This window comes from Homo sapiens, chromosome 10 (genome assembly GCF_000001405.40).
Source record: "Homo sapiens chromosome 10, GRCh38.p14 Primary Assembly".
Classification (NCBI taxonomy): Eukaryota; Metazoa; Chordata; class Mammalia; order Primates; family Hominidae; genus Homo; species Homo sapiens.
The window spans coordinates 96,889,306-96,910,406 of NC_000010.11; the positions used below are offsets into that span (position 1 = coordinate 96,889,306).

Below are 21,101 nucleotides of genomic sequence, written 5' to 3' on the forward strand. Positions count from 1 at the left end.
TATTCATTCATGTTGTCAGCTCAGGTTGCCATAACCAAAATACCACAGGCTTAGTGGCTTGAACCACAGATACTTATTTCTTATAGTTCTGAAGGCTGGAAGTACAGATCAAGGTCCGGCAGTGTTGGTTTCTGCTGAGGCCTCTCCTCCTGGCTTGTAGGTAGCTACCTTCTCACTTTAACCCCACACAGCCGTTTCTCTGTGCTCATGCAGGGAGGTAGCACAAGTGATCTCGAGCGTGTGTGCACCTTCTCTGGTTTCTGTCCTAACAAGGACACTAATTCTGTCAGATCAGGGACCCACCCTTCTGACCTCATTTCATCTTTGTTGCTTCCTTAGAGACCTCATCTCCAAATACAGCCACACTGGGGTTAGGGCGTTAACATGAATTTTGGGAGTGACATAAACTTTGAGTCCTTAACAGTTCTTTTTTATGGTTGAATAATATTCCATTGGATGGCTGTACTCCATTTTGTTTATCCACTCTTTAGTTGGTGGACATTTGAGTGTTTCCGCTGTCAGGTTATTATGAATAATGCTGCTGTTCAATACTGCTGTGAACATTCATGTATGACTTTTTGTTTGAACACCTGTTTTCATTTCTCTTGAGTATATACTTAGGAGTGGAATGCTGGGTCATTTGGTAATTCTATTTTTAACTTTTTGAGAAACACCTAACTTGTTTTCCAGAGCATCTGCGCCGTTTTGCATTCCCACCAGCAATGTGTGAGGGCTCCCATTTCTTCACTTCCTTTACCAGCACTCGTTATTTTCTTTGTATGCGTGTAGTTTTTTTGTTTTGTTTTGTTTTGTTTGAGATGGAGTCTCGCTGTGTCGCCCAAGCTGGAGTGCAGTGGCATGATCCTAGTTCAGTGTAACTTTGAACTCCTGGAGTGAAGTGATCCTCTCACCTCAGTCTAGGACTACGTACCACATCTGGCTAACCTTTAAGATATTTTGTAGAGAAGGGGTCTGGCTGTGTTGTGCAGGCTGATTTCAAACTCCTGGCCTCAAGCAATCTTCTCACCTCTACTTCCCCAAAGCACTAGGACTGTAAGTGTGAGTCACCCCTGCCCAGCCTAAAACTGATTTTCTTATGCTAATCTTGTATTCTACAACCTTGCTGAACCTGTTTATTAGGTTAATGGTGGTGTTTTGAAAGATTCTTTAGAATTATGTATATATAAAATCATGTCATCTATAAAAGTAGTTTTACTTGGTCTTTCCAATTTGGATGCCTTTTATTTCTTTTTCTTTTTTCTAACCACCCTTGCTAGAACTTCTAGACAATGTTGAGTAGAAATGGTAAGAGCAGACATCCTTGCCTTATTTTTGATATTAGGGGAAAGCTTTCAGTATTTTGCTATTGAGTATGTTAGCTGTTTCATAACCAGGGTTATGAAAAAGCTCCTTTCTATTCCTAGATTGTTGAGCGTTTTTATCATGAAAAGGTGTTGGACTTTGTCCAGTGCTTTTCCTATGTCAACTGAGATGATCAGGTTTCTCTTTTCCCCGCTTTATTCTGTTAATATGGTGACTTTTTTTCAACTGATTGATTTTTGTATGTTGAACCAGCCTTGCATCTCTGGGATAATTCCATGATGGATGGTCATATGCTGCTAAATTTTGTTTGCTAGTATTTTCTTGAGGATTCTTGCATCTCTATTCGTGAGGGAGATTGGTCTGTAGTTTCCTTATGATGATGTCTGTCTTTGCTATCAGGGTAATACTAGATTTATGGGATGAGTTTGGAAGTATTCATCCCTTTTCTCTTTTTTTGGAAGAGTTGAAGGAAGGATTGGTGTTCTTCTTTAAATGTTTGGTAGGATTCACCAATGAAGCCATATGGTCCTGGGGTTTTTTTTGTTGGAAGTTTTATTACAGTTTTCATACTTGTTATAGGTCTTTTCAGTTTTTTAGTTGAGTCAGTTTTGGTAGTTTCTAGAGGTTTATCCATTCATCTAGATTATCTAATTTGTTGGCATACAATAGTTCATGGTATTCTCTTGTAATCCTTCCTGTTTCTATAAGATTGTAAAGATGTCCCCAGTTTTATTCCTGATTTTAGTAAATTGAATCTTCTCTCTTCTTTTTTCTTGGTCTGTCTAGTTAAAGGTTTGTCAATATTGATTTTTTCCGAGAAATTTTGGGTTCATTGATACTGATTTTTCTGACTCTTTTTTTTTTTTTTTTTTTTGAGACAGGGTCTTACTCTGTCTTGACTCTTTTTTTTTTTTTTTTTTTTTTTTTTTTTTTTTTGAGACAGGGTCTCTGTCGCCCACACTGGAGTGCAGTGGTGTCATTTCTGTTCACTGCAACTTCTGCCTCCCAGGTTCAAGCAGTTCTCCTGTCTCAGCCTCCTGAGTAGCTGGGATTACAGGTGCACGCCACCACGTCCAACTAATTTTTGTATTTTTAGTTAGAGACAGGTTTTTACCATGTTGGCCAGGCTAGTTGCGAACGCCTGACCTCAGGTGATCACCTGCCTCGGCCTCCCATAGTGCTGGGATTACAGGTGTGAGCCACCACACCTAGCCTGTAGTTACTTTTTTGAGTAACTATTTAAGAATGTATTGTTTAATTTCCACATATTTGCAAATTTTTCAGTTTTCCTGTTAGTGATTTCTAACTTCATTGCATTGTGGTTGGAAAAGATACTTTGTGTGATTTCAGTCTTTTGAAATTTACGGCAAGTTTTTTTGTGGTCTAACGTGTTGCCCTAGAGGATGTTCCAGTGCACTTGAAAAGAATGTGTATTCTGCTCGTGTTGGTTGGAGTGTTCTGCATATGTCTTTTAGGTCTAGTTGCCTAACGGTGTTGTTTAAGTCTTCTTTTTCCTTATGTATCTTTTGCTTAGTTGTACCACCCATTATTGAAAGTAGGGTGTTGAAGTCTCTAGCTATTATTGTTGAGCCATTTCTTCCTTCAAGTCTGTCAATTTTTGCTTCATAGAATTTGGGGCTGTGTTGTTAGGGGCATATATGTTTTTAATTCTTAAATGTTCTTGATTGACTCTTATCATTATATAATGTCCTTTGTCTTTTTAAGTAGTTTTGTCTTAATGCCTTTCTTAGTCCACTTGGGCTGCCTAAGTGGCTTATAAAAAAAATTATTTCTCACAGTTCTGGAGGCTGGGAAGTTCAAGATCAAGACACAGACAGATTTGGTATGGTGAGGTGCCGCTTTCTGGTTCATGGATGACTGTCTTTTTGCTATGTTCTCACATGACAAAAGGATGAGGGATCTCTCTTGGTGCCTCTTTTATAAGGGCACTAATCCCATTTATGAGGACACTGCCCTTATTTTCTTAATCACCTTCCAAAGGCCCCACTTCTTAATCCTATCACCTTGGAGGTGATAGGATTTCAACATATGAATTTTTGGGGGGACTCCAACAGTTAGACCATCGCAGTGCCTATTTTGTCTGATACTAGTATAGCCACTCCATTTCTTTTTTGGTTGCTGTTCGCATGGGCTTTTTCTTTTCTTTCACCTTCAACCTCTTTGTGTCTTTGGATCTAAAGCAAATGTCTTGTGTACAGAATATTGTTGGATAATGCTTTTTAAATTAATTCTGCCCATCTCTGCCTATTAATTGGAGGCTTTACTCCATTTACATGTAATATAATTGCTGATAAGGAGGAACATTTCCCATTTTATATTTCTTTCTGTCTGTCTTATATCAGTTTTGTTCAAGCCCTCCATGACTGATTTTTGTGTTACATATTTTCTAGTGTACCATTTTGATTCCCTTCTCATTTATTTTACTACATAATAGTTATTTTCTTGGTGTTTGTCCTGGGGATTATAATTAACACCTTCATTTGTAGCAGTCTATTTTGAATTAATAACAACTTGGTTTCAATAGTATATAAAATACTTTGCTGCTACATAGCTCTCCCCCCTCCAATAAATCTTTATGCATTGTTTGTCCATCAACACAGAGTTATAATTATTGTTGTATGTAGTCTTTTAAGTCATATAGGGAACAAAAGAGGCATTAACAAACTGAAAACATAACCTCTCTGCCTTCTTTGCTTCCTAACACTTTATAATATAATATCTCTAATATGCTTTCAGATACTATTCTAAATAATTTACAAATACTTGTCTAATCACGTTATAAATTTATAGCCAAGGAAAGTGAGGTGTGAAGAAGACAAATTGTCCAAGGTATGGCCAGGCACAGTGGCTCACACCTGTAATCCCAGCACTTTGGGAGGCCGATGCAGGCAGATCACAAGGTCAGGAGTTCTAGACCAGCCTGGCCAATATGGCGAAACCCGGTCTCTACTAAAAATACAAAAACTAACTGGGCATGGTGGTGGGCATCTGTAGTCCCAGCTACTCGGGAGGCTGAGGCAGGAGAATTGCTTGAACCCTGGAGGTGGAGGTTGCAGTAAGCCAAGATCGCGCCACTACACTCCAGCCTGGGTGACAGAGCAAGACTCTGTTTCAAAAAAAAAAAAAAAAGAAATTGTCCAAGGTTATAGAGCTTTTAAAAGAGAATCAGATATTTGAACCCAGGTGACCTGGCTTCGTAATTCATATTCTTAACCACTACATCTCTTACTTCCTAGAGTTGTAGTACTCCTTCTATTACACTACAACAGTGAATGTAAAATTCAGTTGGATACATAAAATGTGCATTCATGTTGAAAATGAAGGAAAAATAAAGTGAAAGATACTGGGAATCATTTGGGAGGAAAGATAACAGCTGGAAGGGACTTTTGAACTATGGCCTTGAAGACCACGTAGGATCAAGACTATTGATATTTGAGAGAATTTTATTTATTTATTTTTTGTAATGGAGTCTCGCTCTGTCACCCAGGCTGGAGTGCGGTGGCATGATCTCAGCTCACTGCAACCTCCGCCTCCTGGGTCCACACCATTCTCCTGTGTCAGCCTCCCGAGCAGCTGGGACTACAGGCACATGCCACCACGCCCAGCTAAAATTTGCATTTTTAGTAGAGGTGGGATTTCACCATGTCTCAATTTCTTGACCACGTGATCCGACCACCTTGGCCTCCCAAAGTGCTGGGATTATAGGCATGAGCCACCGCATCCGGCCTGAGAGTACATTTTAGAAGGAGCAAGGTGAAGAGAGGGATCAAGACAAAGAAAATCAAGGCCTACTTGAGAAGCAGATTGTTATTGAAAGGCATTGAAAAGGAGTGTTGAAAAGGTTCACTTTTGGAAGAATTTGAAAGCCAGACTAAGCAGTTTGAATTTTATTATGCAGGCAGTAGCTAATCATTGAACCTTTTTGAGCAGGGGAGAACTATTAAGAATTTTGTATATAAATCTGAAAGCTGATTCAAACATTGGTACAGTTTAAAATTTTCTAATATATCCTTCAATTGGGGCCAGACTGAGGGTTTATCTTTTGTACTGCCATATATTATGATGTGTTAGAAGTGTGGTAAAAAGTAATGATTTTTAAAATATATAAATTAGATATATTTAGATGTGTTTGATTACATTAAAAGGAACCTGTTTCCTTTCAGAATCCTCGGATGACATTTGGAGTGGGTTAAGATATGTCTTTATTTCAATAACAGTGCCATATATAATAGTTCAGATCAGCTAGTATTTTTTGAGTACTTACCATCAAGTTGTTTGCTAGATGGTAAAGATAGAACAGTAAAAAAGACCTGACCTTAATTTTCAGTCTCTTTTTCTTTCTAATCTTTAAACATTGGAATGCTCCAGTATTTGGTCCTGTTGCTTCCTTTCCTTAACTTAATATGATCTTATCTAGTTCTAAAGCTTTAAATTCTGTCTGTACTTTACTGATTCCCAATTTTATATTGCCCCATCTCAGTGTCTCCCTTTTAACTTCAAAGTCACCTATCCAATTGCCTTCTTCATAGATCTACTTTGATTTCTAAGTAGCATCTCAGACTTATCCCCAAAGTGAACTAGATCTCTGTCTGCCAAACATTTACCCTCCAGTCTTCTCCATCCTAGAAAGTTACACTACCATTTACTCAGTTCACAGACCAAAAGTGTAAGTGTCATTTTCCCTCACATTCCACATCGGCACATCATCAAGCAAGTTGGTTTTATGTTTGATGTATACCCTCTATGGGGTCACTACCCTCTACCGCCATTGCTACCCCTATCTCTTGCCAAGGCTGTTGTCATAATAGTCTCCTAATGCTTTATCTAATAATCTGTTCTCTACAGCTACCTGGTAATCTTAAACAATATATATCTAATTGTTTTATCTCTACCACTACCCAGATATAAAACTTAAGTGGATTTCTGTTAAAATTCAAAATCCAGTCTCCTCACCGTGGACTGTATGATCATACCTCTAAATCTCTTACCTTATCTTGTACTTCCCATCTTAAATCACCTTGCTGACCATGCCTGCTTTCTTGCTAATTCTCAATATACCGTACTTCATACCTTAACTACCTCAGTGCTGTTCACTCTGCCTAGAACATTCATGTGTCTCCATATGGCTTGTTCCCTCACTTCATTGAGTGCTCAGAAATGTTACCTCCTTTGCCTGTAATCCCAGTGTTTTGGGAGGCCAAGGCAGAAGGATCGCTTGAGACCAGGAGTTTGAGACCAGCCTGGGCAACATAGCAAGACTCTGTCTGAAGAAAAATTTAAAAATTAACTAGCTGTTGTGATGCATGCCTGTAGTCCAAGCTGCTCAGGAGGCTGAGGCAGGAGGATTGCTTGACCCCAGGAGTTTGAGGTTACAGTGTGCTGTGATTGTGCCATTACAACCCAGCCTGGGCAACAGAAAGAGACTCTGTCTCTAAAAACTAAAAAGAAAAAAAAATCTTGCCTCCTAGATAATTTTTTTCTCGGCTCTCTAAATGCTGTCTTCGCTGCTTTGTACAGTAGCACTTATATGGATGTTACTGACATTTCTGGTATTTAGAGGCGTGTGGGTTGAGGAGGGATCTCACTATTACCGTATAGTCATACCTTATGTCATTGACTTTTTTTATTCACAAATGTATTAGACTGACATACATACCTCAAATAGAGTTGACTGCTTGTGAGGAATGGGGGAAAATATGAGAAATTTTAATTTATTTTCTTTTCAGTAAATTACTTGCAAAGTAATTTTATTAGTTTTATTTATTATTATTATTATTACCATTTGTTTTTTTGAGACAGATTCTTGCTGTGTTGCCCAGACTAAAGTGCAGTGGCATCATCTTGGCTCAGTGCAGCCTCCACCACCCAGGCTCAAGCGATTCTCCCGCCTCAGCCTCCCAAGTAGCTGGGACTACAGGCACACACCACGAAGCCTAGCTAATTTTTGTATTTTTAATAGAGATGGGGTTTTACCATGTTGGCCAGGCTGGTCTTGAACTCCTGACCTCAGGTGATCCACCCGCCCTGCCCTTCCAAAGTGCTGGGATTACAGACATGAGCCATGATACTCGGCCCAAAGTAATTTTAAAACAATCTAGAGTTATTGAGATCCACACACTGAAGATAGTAAATGAATCTCCTAATAGTATAAAGCTCCCGCAAGCATGCTAGGTCTAGGTTGGGGCTAACTCTGGAAAGAAGAGAGTAAATGGACAAAGGAATAGGGAGAGGATGGGAAGGGATAGAAAAGGAAGCCCCACCTTTCCAACCCTAAGAACTTTCAAAGTTTAGTTTTTATCTCTGTTCTTTCAACTATAGAAATTTCCATTTTACCTAAAGTGAAGGAAATCATTCAGCTTATAATTTTGTTTTTACTTAGTTAACTCCATTATTCCCAAGGAATGAGAGAGAGAGAGAGAGAGAGAAAGAGAAAGAGAAAGAGAAAGAAAAGCAAAAAAAAAAAAAAAACCCAAAAGAATGCTTACCTCTCACAGTGTAATTTGTAGTTTTGGTATCTTTGAGAAAAAATGTGATGTAAAAAAGATATTATGGATTCAGTAATGCTTTTTAAATGAATACATATGTTATTGTTTGTAGCAGGGTGTGTTAAAAAAGAGTAGTTAGTGGCTGTATCTGCAAGCACATTTTTATTTGATTTACAAACAGTGCTCATATGAATTTACTGACCTTGTAATGACAGAGGTCTTCAAACGGATTGTGGCCTATGGATTGTGAACTGATGTAATTGACTCATTCCTGATCAACCTCAGATTTGCATTTAAATGGTTTCTTTCTAAGCATGATTAACCTAGACAGTTTGATATACTAGAAAAAATGAAACAGAACTGCCCCTGGATTTCCAAAGACTTAATCTGACCTAGCTACTCACTACCTCTGTGATTTTGGTAACTTATTTAATACCTTTGAATCTTGTTTATGGCATTATGTATGTAAATACTGTATTCTGATAATGTTCTAACTACTCAGTATATCTTTCTTTTCCCTCCTTAATGTATTAATACTATTGTTTTTCAGGACTTTATCTTTTTTGTTTTATTTCTATCTTCACTATGATTACAGCTTTCCGCAAAAAAAGTTTGCTGCTGTTTGTGGGCCAGCAAAAGCTGTTTGTGGGCCAGCAAAAAGAGCCCTTAATTATGTTCTGGTTTTAGTCTATAGATACAGAGAACTTAGTTGAGCTGGAGCAGAAAGCCATCTTTTTTTTTTTTTTTTTTTTGTTTGGTCAGATATCTGTTACCCTTCTGTTTTATTTCTATTTTTTCAAGTCTTTAGCTTGCCTGACACATAAAACAGAGTCCTTGTAAAATCTCCAACCTCTCAGTTAATTATAATGATGTAGGAATTAAAAAGAGTGTGTTTGCATTCATCCAACAAATATTTATTGAGCACTTACTTGAGGATGGTAGTTCAAAGTATAGGGTGATGTTAAAAGATGAATAAACTCCAGTTCTTTGCTGAAAATCTAGCGGATTAAATACCAAAAAAAGGTATATAAATAGTACAACTTGAGTACTGATGAGGATGTTCCTAACTTTGCCTGGGGCTTATGGGGTGAGATGGGGATACCTTAGAATTAGATTGAGGGTTGCAGGAAGAACATTGTAGGCTGACGACATATTGTGCTCAAGTGGCGTGGAAGCATTGACAGTATGTGTTGTGACTGATCAGTATGGCCAGAGCATAGTGTATGTATACAGAATATGGTAGCAGGAGAGACTGAAAAGATAATTTGGGATCAGATCCTATAATGATCATGCATGGCATCCAGAAATTGAAATCTTCACTATTGTCAGTGGAAAGCTATCAAATGTTTTTAAAACCTAGAAAGGATGATGTTTAGCAGCAGCATGAAGGGTGGATTCTGGTGGTAGAGATGGTGGTGTGGGAGAATACTAAGATAAATTAAAAATTAAGAGATGTTATTAATAGGTGGTGTGATGAAATGAAAAGAGCCTGGGCTTTAGAATCACAGGAATGGTTTTAAATCTAGATATTGGCCTTTGCAGTTTGGAACGAATTAGCTGCTTTGATTTTCAGGGTTGTTTGTTTTGTTTTGTTTTACACATTCTGGGTAGTAATAGTGCTTGTTTTACAGTATTCCTTTGAATATTTTGTTATGGGCATGAAGCACCTGCTATAGTGCTTGCCTGATACCAAATAAGGGTGCAGTTAATGATAACTGTCATTATTATCAACATGAGTGACATTTATTATAATTGTTAAGATAAGAGATAGTGAAAACCTGAATTTAGGGATGGAAAAGAGAGAACAGATTGGGAGGAATCTTTCTGAAGTAAAATGAATAGGACTCAATGACCGGAATACTTGGTGATTTATGGAAAGAATAGAATTGTGACTAACCGAGGTCTCTATTTAACCTGAATAACTTGGGGGGAAGGTGTTCGTGATGCCATTTTCTTAGTAATGAATACAGAATATAGACGAAATCTATGATTGAGATGAAGGAAAGGAGTAAAATGATTTTGATTTGGTGGGCATTTTTAGGTATTTAGGAGATTTTGGTGATAATATGAAGTAGGAAATTAGAAATTTGGTCTTAGGGCAAGAGATAAAGGATTGGAGAGTTATAAGTATCTGCATAGTAGTGGGAAAGCATGTTAATTTTGATTCCTTGACTAGAATTATAAATATCTTAACGGCAGGGCATATTTTTAAACATAACCCCTGTATCCCCACACTGCTGAGCTCTATGTAAACACTTGATTAATTCTTATTAAATGTGAGATTTAAAAAATAATATTCTTGATGGCTTTGTGAATAGAAAAGGTAATGCATAGTTATTTTGATTTTTAATTTTTAAATGTTCACTTTATTTAAATTTATAAACTTAAAACCTGGTTCTCTCTAAATACAGATCTTATTCTGTAACTAATTTTAACAAACTTTTGATAAATATCTTAATTTAACTTCTTAAAACATTTAAATCTGTAAGTATAAATTAAATTTATTTTCTCTGTAAATATTGATTAATAAAACCTTAGATACTTAAATAAATCTTGTAAATCTAATAATTTAAAATTGTAAATATAAACATCCTTAAGTTTTGTGAGTATTCTTATACAGGATGCAAACTTAGTAAAATTTCGGCTTAAAATCATAAGTCTAAATCAGCTGTTCAATTATACATTTTAAATTAGAATTACAAGGCTGGCTCTAATAGGCCAGATTTTCTTAAAACATTACAAATTTTTACCAAACAGGCATAGAGTACCTGTTTTGTAAACAGCTTTATTGAGACATAATTTACATACCTTACAATTCACCTATTTTAAGTGTGCAGTTCACCGATTTTTATTATAGTCACAGAATTATGCAACCATCACCACCATCTAATTTTAGAATATTTCCCTTAATACAAAAAGAAATGTGTTGCCCATTTGCAATTATTTTTTCATTTTCATTCAGCCATAGGAAACCACTAATGTACTTTCTTCTATCTATAGATTTGCCTTTTCAGTACATTTTATATCAATGGACTCATAGTATGTGGTCTTTTGTTTCTGTCCTTTTTTCACCTAACACAATGTGTTTTGAGGCTTATTCATCCATATTATAATTTTATTCCATTGTATGGATATACCACATTTTGTTTATCACAGATTACCTCTTAATATACAATAATTAAAATTTTAGTTCTTTTAAGTCATCCTATACTTGATTCTTTTTTTAAAAAAAGAAACCTGAAAATAAGTAAATGAATCTCTTACGAGTTAGACAAAAATGCAATAGAATAAACCCAAAGAAATGGATAATTGAAAAAAATTAAAGCAAAATTTAATGAAATCAATGATATAATAGAGAAGAACAAAAAAGTCAAAGTAGGTTTTTAAAAGAAAAAAACTAAAAAAGAAACTGATAGGATCAATCAAGGAATAAAAGAAACAAAAATAGTATGAAAATGAAGACTGACAACATATTAGAGATCAAAAGACAAGGTATTTATAGCAGCCTGCCATTAGTTTTTATATAAACAGTCTTTTCCCTTTTCAGGAGATCATTATTCCCAATCATATTTTTCTTAATGGAACTACTTTGAGTAACCCTTACCCCCCAGAGTGAATGGCTGTTCTACTTCCCAAATCAGAGAATATCTATAAATGTCTTTTATCAATATTCATAAGCAACACATTGTCTTCATTTTTCCTCTAGAATTTTGTAAACACTGCTTCGTAGGCTTTTTTTTTTTTTTCTTTTTTCTGTTTTAAGAGATGGGGTCGGCCGGGCGCAGTGGCTCACACCTGTAATCCCAGCACTTTGGGAGGCCAAGGCGGGCGGATCACGAGTTCAGGAGATCGAGACCATCGTGGCTAACACAGTGAAACCCCGCCTCCACTAAAAATACAAAAAATTAGTCAGGCGTGGTGGCGGGCGCCTATAGTCGCAGCTACTCGGGAGGCTGAGGCAGCAGAATGGCATGAACCCGGGAGGCGGAGCTTGCAGTGAGCCAAGATCACGCCACTGCACTCCAGCCTGGGCGACAGAGACTCCGTCTCAAAAAAAAAATAATAAAATAAAAAGAGATGGGGTCTCCTCATGTTGCCCAGGTCAAACCCCTGGACTCAAGCAGTCCTTCCACTTAAGCTTCCCAAGTAACTGGGACTGCAGGTGTGTGTCACCACATACCATTCCCAGCTCTCCATACATGTTTAGCATTTACATTTACCAGTGAAATGACTGGTAGTCTAAATCTCTTTCCTCTTATTTTAAGTAAAATTAAGTGAAATATTTTCCATATTTGGAGCTTGTAAATTTTTATTGTTGAAATTCAGATATTTTACCAGGAGAGTCTACATGTGTAGCTTCCCCTCCAACCCCCTAGTGCTGCCCCAGTATTTCATGGAGCCCATTAGATAAGAAGACTCAAGTCAGTAATCAACATTAGGAAGTTTTTGTTTCCTTCTAAATTTTTAAAACGTTCATTCTTTGCCTTTTCTTGCTCTAAAAATCCTATTTTACAGATACTGCACGTCTGGCCACCTCATCTCTAATCTTTTTCTCATTATGTATGTGTCTTTGACACTTCACTATACAATATTAGGCCATTTCTTCCTTCCTTCCTTCCATCCGTTCCTCCATCTGTCCATCGGTCCACCTTCTTTCAATGGTCTCGCTCTGTTGCCCTGGCTGGAGTGCGGTGGCGCAATCTCGGCTCACTGCACCTTACACCTCCTGGGTTCAAGTGATCTTACCACGTCAGCCTCCCGGGTAGTTGGGACTACAGGTGTGTGCCACCACCCTGGGCTAATTTTTTGTACTTTTTTATAGAGACGGAGTTTTACCATGTTGTCCATACTGATAGTAGGACATTTCTTAAGTTAATTTTCTAAATCACTACTTTGTTGTGTATTTCTCTACTTAATTCTATTTGGTAATTTTAGTAGTTTTTCTCCTCCCCCCAAGCATTTGTTCTCTGCTATTTTATTCAGAGCTCTTTGCTCTTAAAAAAAAAAAATACTATTTCTCCCTGGCCTCAATAAAAATACTATTTATAATTTGTCTTCAAGTGCTGCTGTTTTGTCTTCATTAATTCTGTTTCATTTTGGGCCATTAGTCGTGATTAAAGTGTTACTTCTCTTTGGTATATCTGGCTAGGTTTTGTCATCAGTTCTTGTGCTGGGTAATTCTGAGAGTGGTAAGTGAGCCAACAAATAGGGTTCATCATAGTGCATCATCTGGGAGAATGTGCTCAGGAGGAGAGGAAGAATTATTAATGAATGTAGTTCTCTAATAATGAAAGGAATCACCAGGGATAGTAAGGGGAAGAGAAGCCTGAATGGTCATTGCTCATTATCTATAGAAGTTCATTTGATCTTTGATTTAATAACATGCTGAGATAGTTGGAATGTCAATTAAAAAGAATTGATTACCTTAATTACCTGGGATAGAATATAAAAGATTGTATAATCTAGTGTTCTAAAATTATTACCACAATTACTATTGCACCAACCCAATACTTTCACTTTGTGACTGACTTCGTATGAAGGCTCAGTGTGGTGGTGGCATCAAGTCACACATCCTGACTTTTAAGCAAACAACTCCAGATAATATCATTCCCCTCTTTGTTTATTAGGACACTAATTGATTATTATTGCCAGCAAGCACCTTTGAACTGATACTTTGTAAAATATAATACAGTCATGTGTTGCTTAACAATGGGGTTGCATTATGAGAAGTGCATCCTTAGGCAGTTTCATCATTTTTCAAACATCGTAAAGTATACTTACACAAACCTAGATAATATAGCCTACTACATACCTAGGCTATTTGGTATAGCCTGTTGCTGCTAGCCTGCAAATCTGTACAGCACATTACTGTACTGAATACTGTAGGAAATACCACCATTGTCACACAATATCATTGTCACACAGTGGTAAGTATTTGTGTATCTAAACATAGAAAAGGTACAGTAAAAATTGTCACACGTGGATAGGGCACTTACCATAAATGGAGAGTGCAGGACTGGAAGTTGCTCTGAGTGAGTCAGTGAGTAAGTGGTAAGGGAACAAGAAGGCCTAGAATGTTGCTGTACGCTACTGTAGACTTATAAATACTGTACACTTAGGCTACACTAAATTTACTTAGGAATAAAGTAATTGCAGTCCAACATTACAATGGCTGTAATCACCAAGCAGTAGGAATTTTTCAGCTCCGTTATAATTTTATGGGACTACCGTGGTATATGCAGTCCATCCTTGACTAAAACATCGTTGTGTGGCATGTGATTGTACTTTATTGAAGACTGAGCACCAAGCTCAGTACAAGCTTGCATACAAGATCCAGGGGCCTTGATGTAAAAATTGCTCATTTTCTGATATATTCCTGCATTTCCTTCAGCACCTCTCTGAAACTACTAGTCTCTGTACTGGTTATCTCAGAGGAGAGGTTCCCAAGACCCAGGAACCGTTTTTTCATTCTGTTAATTTTTTTCCAAAAGAACAGGCTATATTGCTGACCTTAGTTAGCTTTGTATTTGATATATTCCTATTCTGTTACTTTTTATAACCTGTTTTCCCCCTTTTCGTTGGAAATGGATTGTGATTTAGATTGAAGGGGGAAATTTGTGGGAGATTTTAGTCTTCTATCTTCTGTTTTCGAGAGCTGTGTGATTAAATCGGAAGCTAATCAGGCATGTGAAGCCTTTCTGTGAGAGAAACATTGTTCCTATAAGAGAAACATTGCTTTCTAGCCTTCCTGGAGCATTAATTCTCCTTGAGGAGATAAGACATAAATGAATAAAAGAAAAATGAGAACATAGTGTTTAGATAGCCTGTGACAAATTTTATTTTACAAAATACTTGAAAAGACAGTGTTTTGTAAATGGCAGAAAGCAGAGAAGACATTAGGCAACTGACTTTTATTTAAAATCAAGCAACAGTCTTGAGAATTCTGAGGATGAGAGAACTGGAAACTGAAGATTCATGAGGGCAGGTAACATGGCAGCTCAACACTGCCTGTTGAACAGTCCCTGGCAGATGATAGACTCTCAGTTAGTGTATGTCGAATAAATTAATATGTATTTGTTGAACAATGTGAAGAGTTATCTTGAAGGAGAGAGATACTATATTTTAGCAAAGGTGAGATGCAGAGGCTTCAGAAAATGTTAGGAGGTAGGAATGATCACTGAACACAACAGAAGACCATCCTGACCAGAGCTGTAGGAATGAGCAGGAAAGGTCTGGTAAGTAAGCCAGCTAACAGTAGGTAGGGTCAAATTATAAGCAGTTTTGATTGCCGAATTTGGAATTTGGGGTTTGTTCTTTAACCAGTGTGAACTTTGAAGAGGTGGTGGCATCATTGAAGCAGTGTTTTAGGAATAGCCTGAAGACATGGTGCAGGTTGCAGTGAAGAAGAAACTAGAGCTCAACCTTGAGACTAGTTGTGATGTTGGATAGGAATTCTTTCAAAAGTAGTCAACTTCGATAAAATAAATAATTTTTCTTTATATGTGATATGTAAAGGTAGTTTTTAAGCCTTAGTGATTGAACATAACGGCATGGCTGTCTTTTTCAGTATTTAGTTTTCCATGGCATTTTGTTATTGATCTTTCTGGCTTTTCTGTGATATCATGGTATACATTTTGAATATATTTGTTCTTCGCTTATTTGCCTTTCATTAATGTCAAGCATAGCACGTCAGACATTCCCTGTTGCTATGCAACTGCTAAATTCAATATTTAGTATTAATAAAACTGAGTGGCATTAACATCCAGTGAACAGAGGGTAGCAAAATACGACTTTACAGTATCTAATCAATAATATTTGTTAGGTTTAATGTATTGTTGCAGATATGAGCAAAAGAGGAGTGACTTGTTTACAGTTGCTATTTTGAGCAAAATTAGTTGTGATTAAATCTTTGTGTTTATAACCAGATTTTTTTTGTTTGCTTTTGTTCTTTGTCATTGCTTTTTCATCTGTGACTCAAATTTTTGTTAGTATTATTGATCTTCTGCCCAATTTTCTTATGTCAGATTCTGTTCTTCTTTAAAATTTTTATCTCCCAAAGCTTTCATTTGCATTTTTCTTTCCTGGCATTATTTCTTGCTATATTTACTTTTTTCCTTTTCAAGAATTTACGCTCAGCCCGAAAATTTGGAATTTGTTACAATTTTATATAAACCCAGGTGAAAGAATATTAGATTTGCTCTTCAGGATAAGACCTACTTAATAATTTCCTTTAGCTATTTGCGTTGTGTATTTGATGCTTGCAAGGTGTTGAAATACTTTATTATTTGTGAAATCAGATTTTCTTTTGGGAGGGCAGGTAGGGGGGCTTTAAGAATTGGAGATAGGCTGTGGGATTTATTTATTTTTTTAAGTCAGATCGTTCTGAAAATATCTGATCTCCAGGGCCAAAATAGGCAGTATCTAGCATTTTCTTCTCTTCTCTTATCACTACCTCCCCACCCCCACAGCCCTACCCCAACCCTTTTTCCTCCCTAGTGTGGAAGAGAGGGGACCATAGCAATTTAGTGGAATATATTTTAATTTTAGTAGGTAAATAATAGACATAGATACCTCCCATTTGTTTGAGTGGGTAGTTTGATTTTGTTAATGTCCTTGGAATAATCTTGATGGGAATTAAAGAGAGTTGAAAAACAATTGCTCCCTAACAATAAATAAAAAATCTGGAATCTAGGATATATCATATAGTATAGAAAAACCAGCTCTCTAATTACAGTGTAAATAACACAAACTAGAGATTACTGAAAATTATGGCTTAATACCAAGGCAAAGAAATCCCTTACATTACCATCTTCTTCTTCTTATAGCCAGATAAACAAAATGCCATTTTCAGAGGCCATCATTTCTACCCCCTTACCTTCTAAATCCTTTTCTGTGGTTGTATTTGTGGTCAAAAATTGATACATGTGAGGGGGCCTTATGTGTCCGGCAGGATATAGTATTTTAAATTAAGGGGTACCTTATCTTTTAAGCATGGGAGTGCTTTTTAACAATTAAATCGCAAACCCCTAGGTGACAGATTATGTGGCAAAATACACAGTGCCCCTAGCTACTAGGAATTCAGTAACACTTTTTATATTTACTTTATTGCAGTAATCCTATGCCTTTGAAAAGTAGTATGTATACTGAATGCACAAGACGTTAATTTCGAGGCCGCACTGAGAGTGCATATGGATTCATAGACTCCTTGTTTGTAATAACCATTTGAGTTCCCGGTGAGGTCCATGGCAAACATTTTGGGAACCACTGCTTTAATCTGTTATTTCTGGTATGTTGTATAAAGATACAGTCTGATTCCTGCTCTTGTTTTCCTCCTTACTCTCTTGACCCATAAGAAATTGCAAGATGGCAAAGATATTTTTAAATTATTCAGTAGATCCATCAGTATTTGAGATAATAAGCCAGAAAAAAAGTTTTTGATTTTTTCATTTTCTACTTTTTTCACACTGGTAGAAGGACATAATAATTTAAACATTTGTGTACAAGTATATTTGATTTTTTTCTCTTTTTTTTGTATGTACAATCAGTGGGGTTTACGTTTATAAAGGAACCAGTACATAGTTATTGTGGCAATGTTAAATACTTACAAAAGTCTTTTAAAAGTCTTGTACCTTCTTTACAAAAGTCTTGCACCTTGTGTTTGTGTGATGTAGTTTTTCTCAGTAAATATTTCATAAACTTAACTCAAAATCTGTTGTCTCAACTGGTATTTTGAAAAATGCTATTTAGATTATTTTAGAAAGTTGTGGAAATTTTGAAGCAGTTTTTGACTCATTCATTGAGAAAAGTACCTTTTAAAATGGAGCCTGAGAGTTTGTACAAAGAGGTGTTTGGGATTTTGTAAAATGGTGAGAAAACCTGTGAATTTCCATTCCTTCATTGGTCTTGTTCTTGAATGTGCTCAGAATTTGTGTTGAATGTTAATCATTGACAGAAATGCAAATGCTCCTTTTAGATTTGTCATTGACACTCTTTTTCTAAGCATCCCTTCAGTAGTAATCCAGGATCCTTGAGAACTGGAAGAAAACACCATCTTTTTTTTTTTATGCAAAGATTATTCAATACTAGAATGAATATTATTGTGGTAATGGATTTTGTTTTTATCCTTTCAGGGTTTGAAAGTATTCTTGAAGGGCTGTTTGGACCTGCATTATTAAAAGATCTCAGTTTATTTAAAGGTATTCAAAATATTTTTGGTATTTCAAATTCTTCCTGGTGCCATACATGATACGTTGGTGTTTTAAGCCTCAGTCTCCTTTTTATTCACGGTTTCATGTGGGTTAAAGCTATATTCATGTAAGCATCTTTTTGTGTTTAGTTGATATTGTTAATATATGTATGAATAATGTATTAACTAGTGAGCAGTTAAGACTTAAGAATTTAAGAGTTAAAATTTTTAAGACAAATATGGCCTAACTACTTAGTTTTTTGTTAAACAATATTTTTGAAATTAATTCTAATTTATTTTCCTAAAAATTCTCTTTTATGACTATTAATTTGTTACTATTTTTGCAGACTGTGAACCTGAAAGCATTTCTGATTGGACTTTTGATGAAAACTGTTTATTCTGTTGCTTGAGAAGAGATAAAGTAAAGGTAACTAAGAAGCCTGTGAAACTTTTATTTAGTGTAGTATTTTAAAGTTTTCATCTTTTAAAACATTGTGTTACTTTGTTGGAGGATTTGTAGGAAAAGGAAGGTATGGTTTCATACTTAGTTATGAAAGAGTTTGATAGTAATCCTGGGTTTTGCAATTTAAGTTATTTCCATCCTGTTGATTAGCCTATTAAGAAACCTATATCCTACCATGCATTTATTGTTGTTATTTTGTTTTTTTGCTTTTTTGTTTTTTTTTTATTTTGAGACGGAGTCTCTCTGTGATGCCCAGGCTGGAGTGAAATGGCACGATCTCTGCTCACTGCAGCCGCCGCCTCCTGGGTTCAAGCGATTCTCCTGCCTCAGTCCCGAGCAGCTGGGATTACAGGCACCTGCCACCACACCAGCTAATTTTTGTATTTGTAGTAGAGATAGGGTTTTATCATATTGGGCAGGCTGGTCTTGAACTCCTAACCTCAAGTGATCTCCTGCCTCAGCCTCCCAAAGAGCTGGAATTACAGGCATGAGCCACCGCGCCCAGCCCATGCATTGTTTTATTTATATAGTTCACTAGGCAGAATAATTAATTGTCTCAAACTGTTGTGTTTATTTAAAAAATGAAATGTGTGGTAATTCAAGTAATGGGAGTTATTTTTAGTACAAAAAGAACAGTAATGTAGATCTGGATCAAGCAGTTACTAATTCATGTAGATGATGATATACTATGGTTTCTACTTTAAGACACTTCTTCATAATATCTGGGCATGAATGCTATTATTTTTAATTGTATAAACTGGGTGAACCTTTGTGTATTTGTTGTTTTATTGCTTTGTTTTAAACATAAACAGAATTTTGTTAGAAAACATTTCACTTGTTGGAAACATTTATTAATAGTGGTTTACTACTTTTTTTTTTCATGGTACATCCATTCCCTGTTTTAAAGCCTTGAAAATGCTTTCTTCTGCCGTATACACTCTTTTTTTTTTGAGATGGAGTCTCACTCTGTCATCCAGGCTGGAGTGCAGTGGCGCGATCTCTGCTCACTGCAGGCTCCCCCCTCCGGGTTTACGCCATTCTCCTGCCTCAGCCTCACGAGTAGCTGGGACTACAGGCGCCCGCCACCTCGCCCGGCTAATTTTTTGTATTTTTAGTAGAGACGGGGTTTCACTGTGTTAGCCAGGATGGTCTCGATCTCCTGACCTTGTGATCCGCCCGCCTCGGCCTCCCAAAGTGCTAGGATTACAGGCGTGAGCCACCGCGCCCGGCCTTCTTCTGTCCTATACACTCTTAACTTAAATCATTGACCAGATTTTATCAGTTTTTCCCTCACAACGAATTTCATTTTTTTTCATTTCCACAATCATTACTATAGTTCTCTCTTAGTCTTCTTCAGTCTCTTAAATATTCCTACAAGGTTAAACTCCTCCCAACCCTCACCCCTCAAATGGTGTAGAAATGTTACCTTATACTTAGCCTTTGATGACTTTCTCATTGTCTTCTGGATTCATTAGCCTAACAGTGCCTCAGTACCCTCCACATTTTAACCACTTTTCTTTCTAATGATATCCCACTTGTCTTCTATACAGTTTTCTTTCAACTAAGCTATTTCTCTATAGCTAGAAATTCCTTTGTTTTTACTCTTAAGCCCCATCGTTCCTCTGCTTCTATTGCTGTTTCAGCCTTTCACACTGTTGTCAATATTATCTGTGCCAATTACTTGTCAGTTAATATTCTGCCTTATTTTGTTCATCCTTTTTCATATTTGAATCTTTTGTTCCTTACTACATTGTCAACTGCTAAAAACTAGACAGACCATGCTGTATGCTTCCTTGTACCCCTGCATATAACCATTGTATCACTATTTATCTGTGTTGGCAAGTTGCTTTAAAATTTGAAAGCCAACGTGTAGCCAACATAAGTGCTTTTTCATGTTCTTCTTGTATGGCTTCTTTTTCTTGTTTTCTACATGAAAAAGTTGTTGCTCTATTTGGAATGGTCTGTTTTTGTTGAATTGAGGAAGAACGTGTTTTAAAATTTAATCTGGCTCCAAAAAGAGAGACTAGAAAAGAAAGCAACATTGTTTTGAGTTAAACTTCCAGTGAAATTGAAGTTCATAATTTTAAACTCTGTGTGTGTGTGTGTGTCTCTGGTGGCTCTTTATTGAGCAAGCCATTTAATAGGAATTTTTGAAAAATAAAAAGAAGAAACAGTTACTAATTTTTTTTTCAGGTTAGGATGAGGAAGAGAGCCATTCTATGCTTGGTAGTTGTATATAGTATATTCTTGTAATATGATTGAGAGTTTTCCTTTGCTGTATGAGGGTAAAATATTGTATGAATTTTTTTTAAGAGACAGGGTATCACTGTGTTGCCCAGGCTGGACTTAAGTGATCCTGCTTCTTCAACCTTCCAAGTAGCTAGGACTACAGGTACATGCCACCATACCCAGCTTGTGTGAATATTTTTAGAAGAAAATACAGATAGAGAAAGTCATGAAATGGTGAAGCACTTAAAACAACTGTTTTACTGTTTGTAGTTCTACAGTTTTTAGTTGGTTTTCTAAATAGAAATAATTTTTCCATTTGACAGCTCAGCTGGTTCTGGGAAAGCTATTTTTCTCCGTTAGATACTATATCCTGTCTTTGGCATTTATTATTTTC

At 36.5% G+C, this 21,101-nt stretch overlaps 1 protein-coding gene across 4 annotated transcripts in view; it reads left to right on the forward strand.

Moving 5' to 3' along the window:
• The window catches only part of LCOR (ligand dependent nuclear receptor corepressor), a 163,659-nt gene that overhangs the window by 57,008 nt on the left and 85,550 nt on the right, over positions 1 to 21,101 (forward strand). For all 4 annotated transcript variants that reach the window (NM_001346516.2, NM_001170765.2, NM_001170766.2 and 1 more), the window contains exons 3-4: positions 17,960 to 18,025; positions 18,363 to 18,442. The gene's annotated coding sequence lies outside the window, so the exon portion shown is untranslated. The remainder of the gene's footprint in view (positions 1 to 17,959; positions 18,026 to 18,362; positions 18,443 to 21,101) is intronic.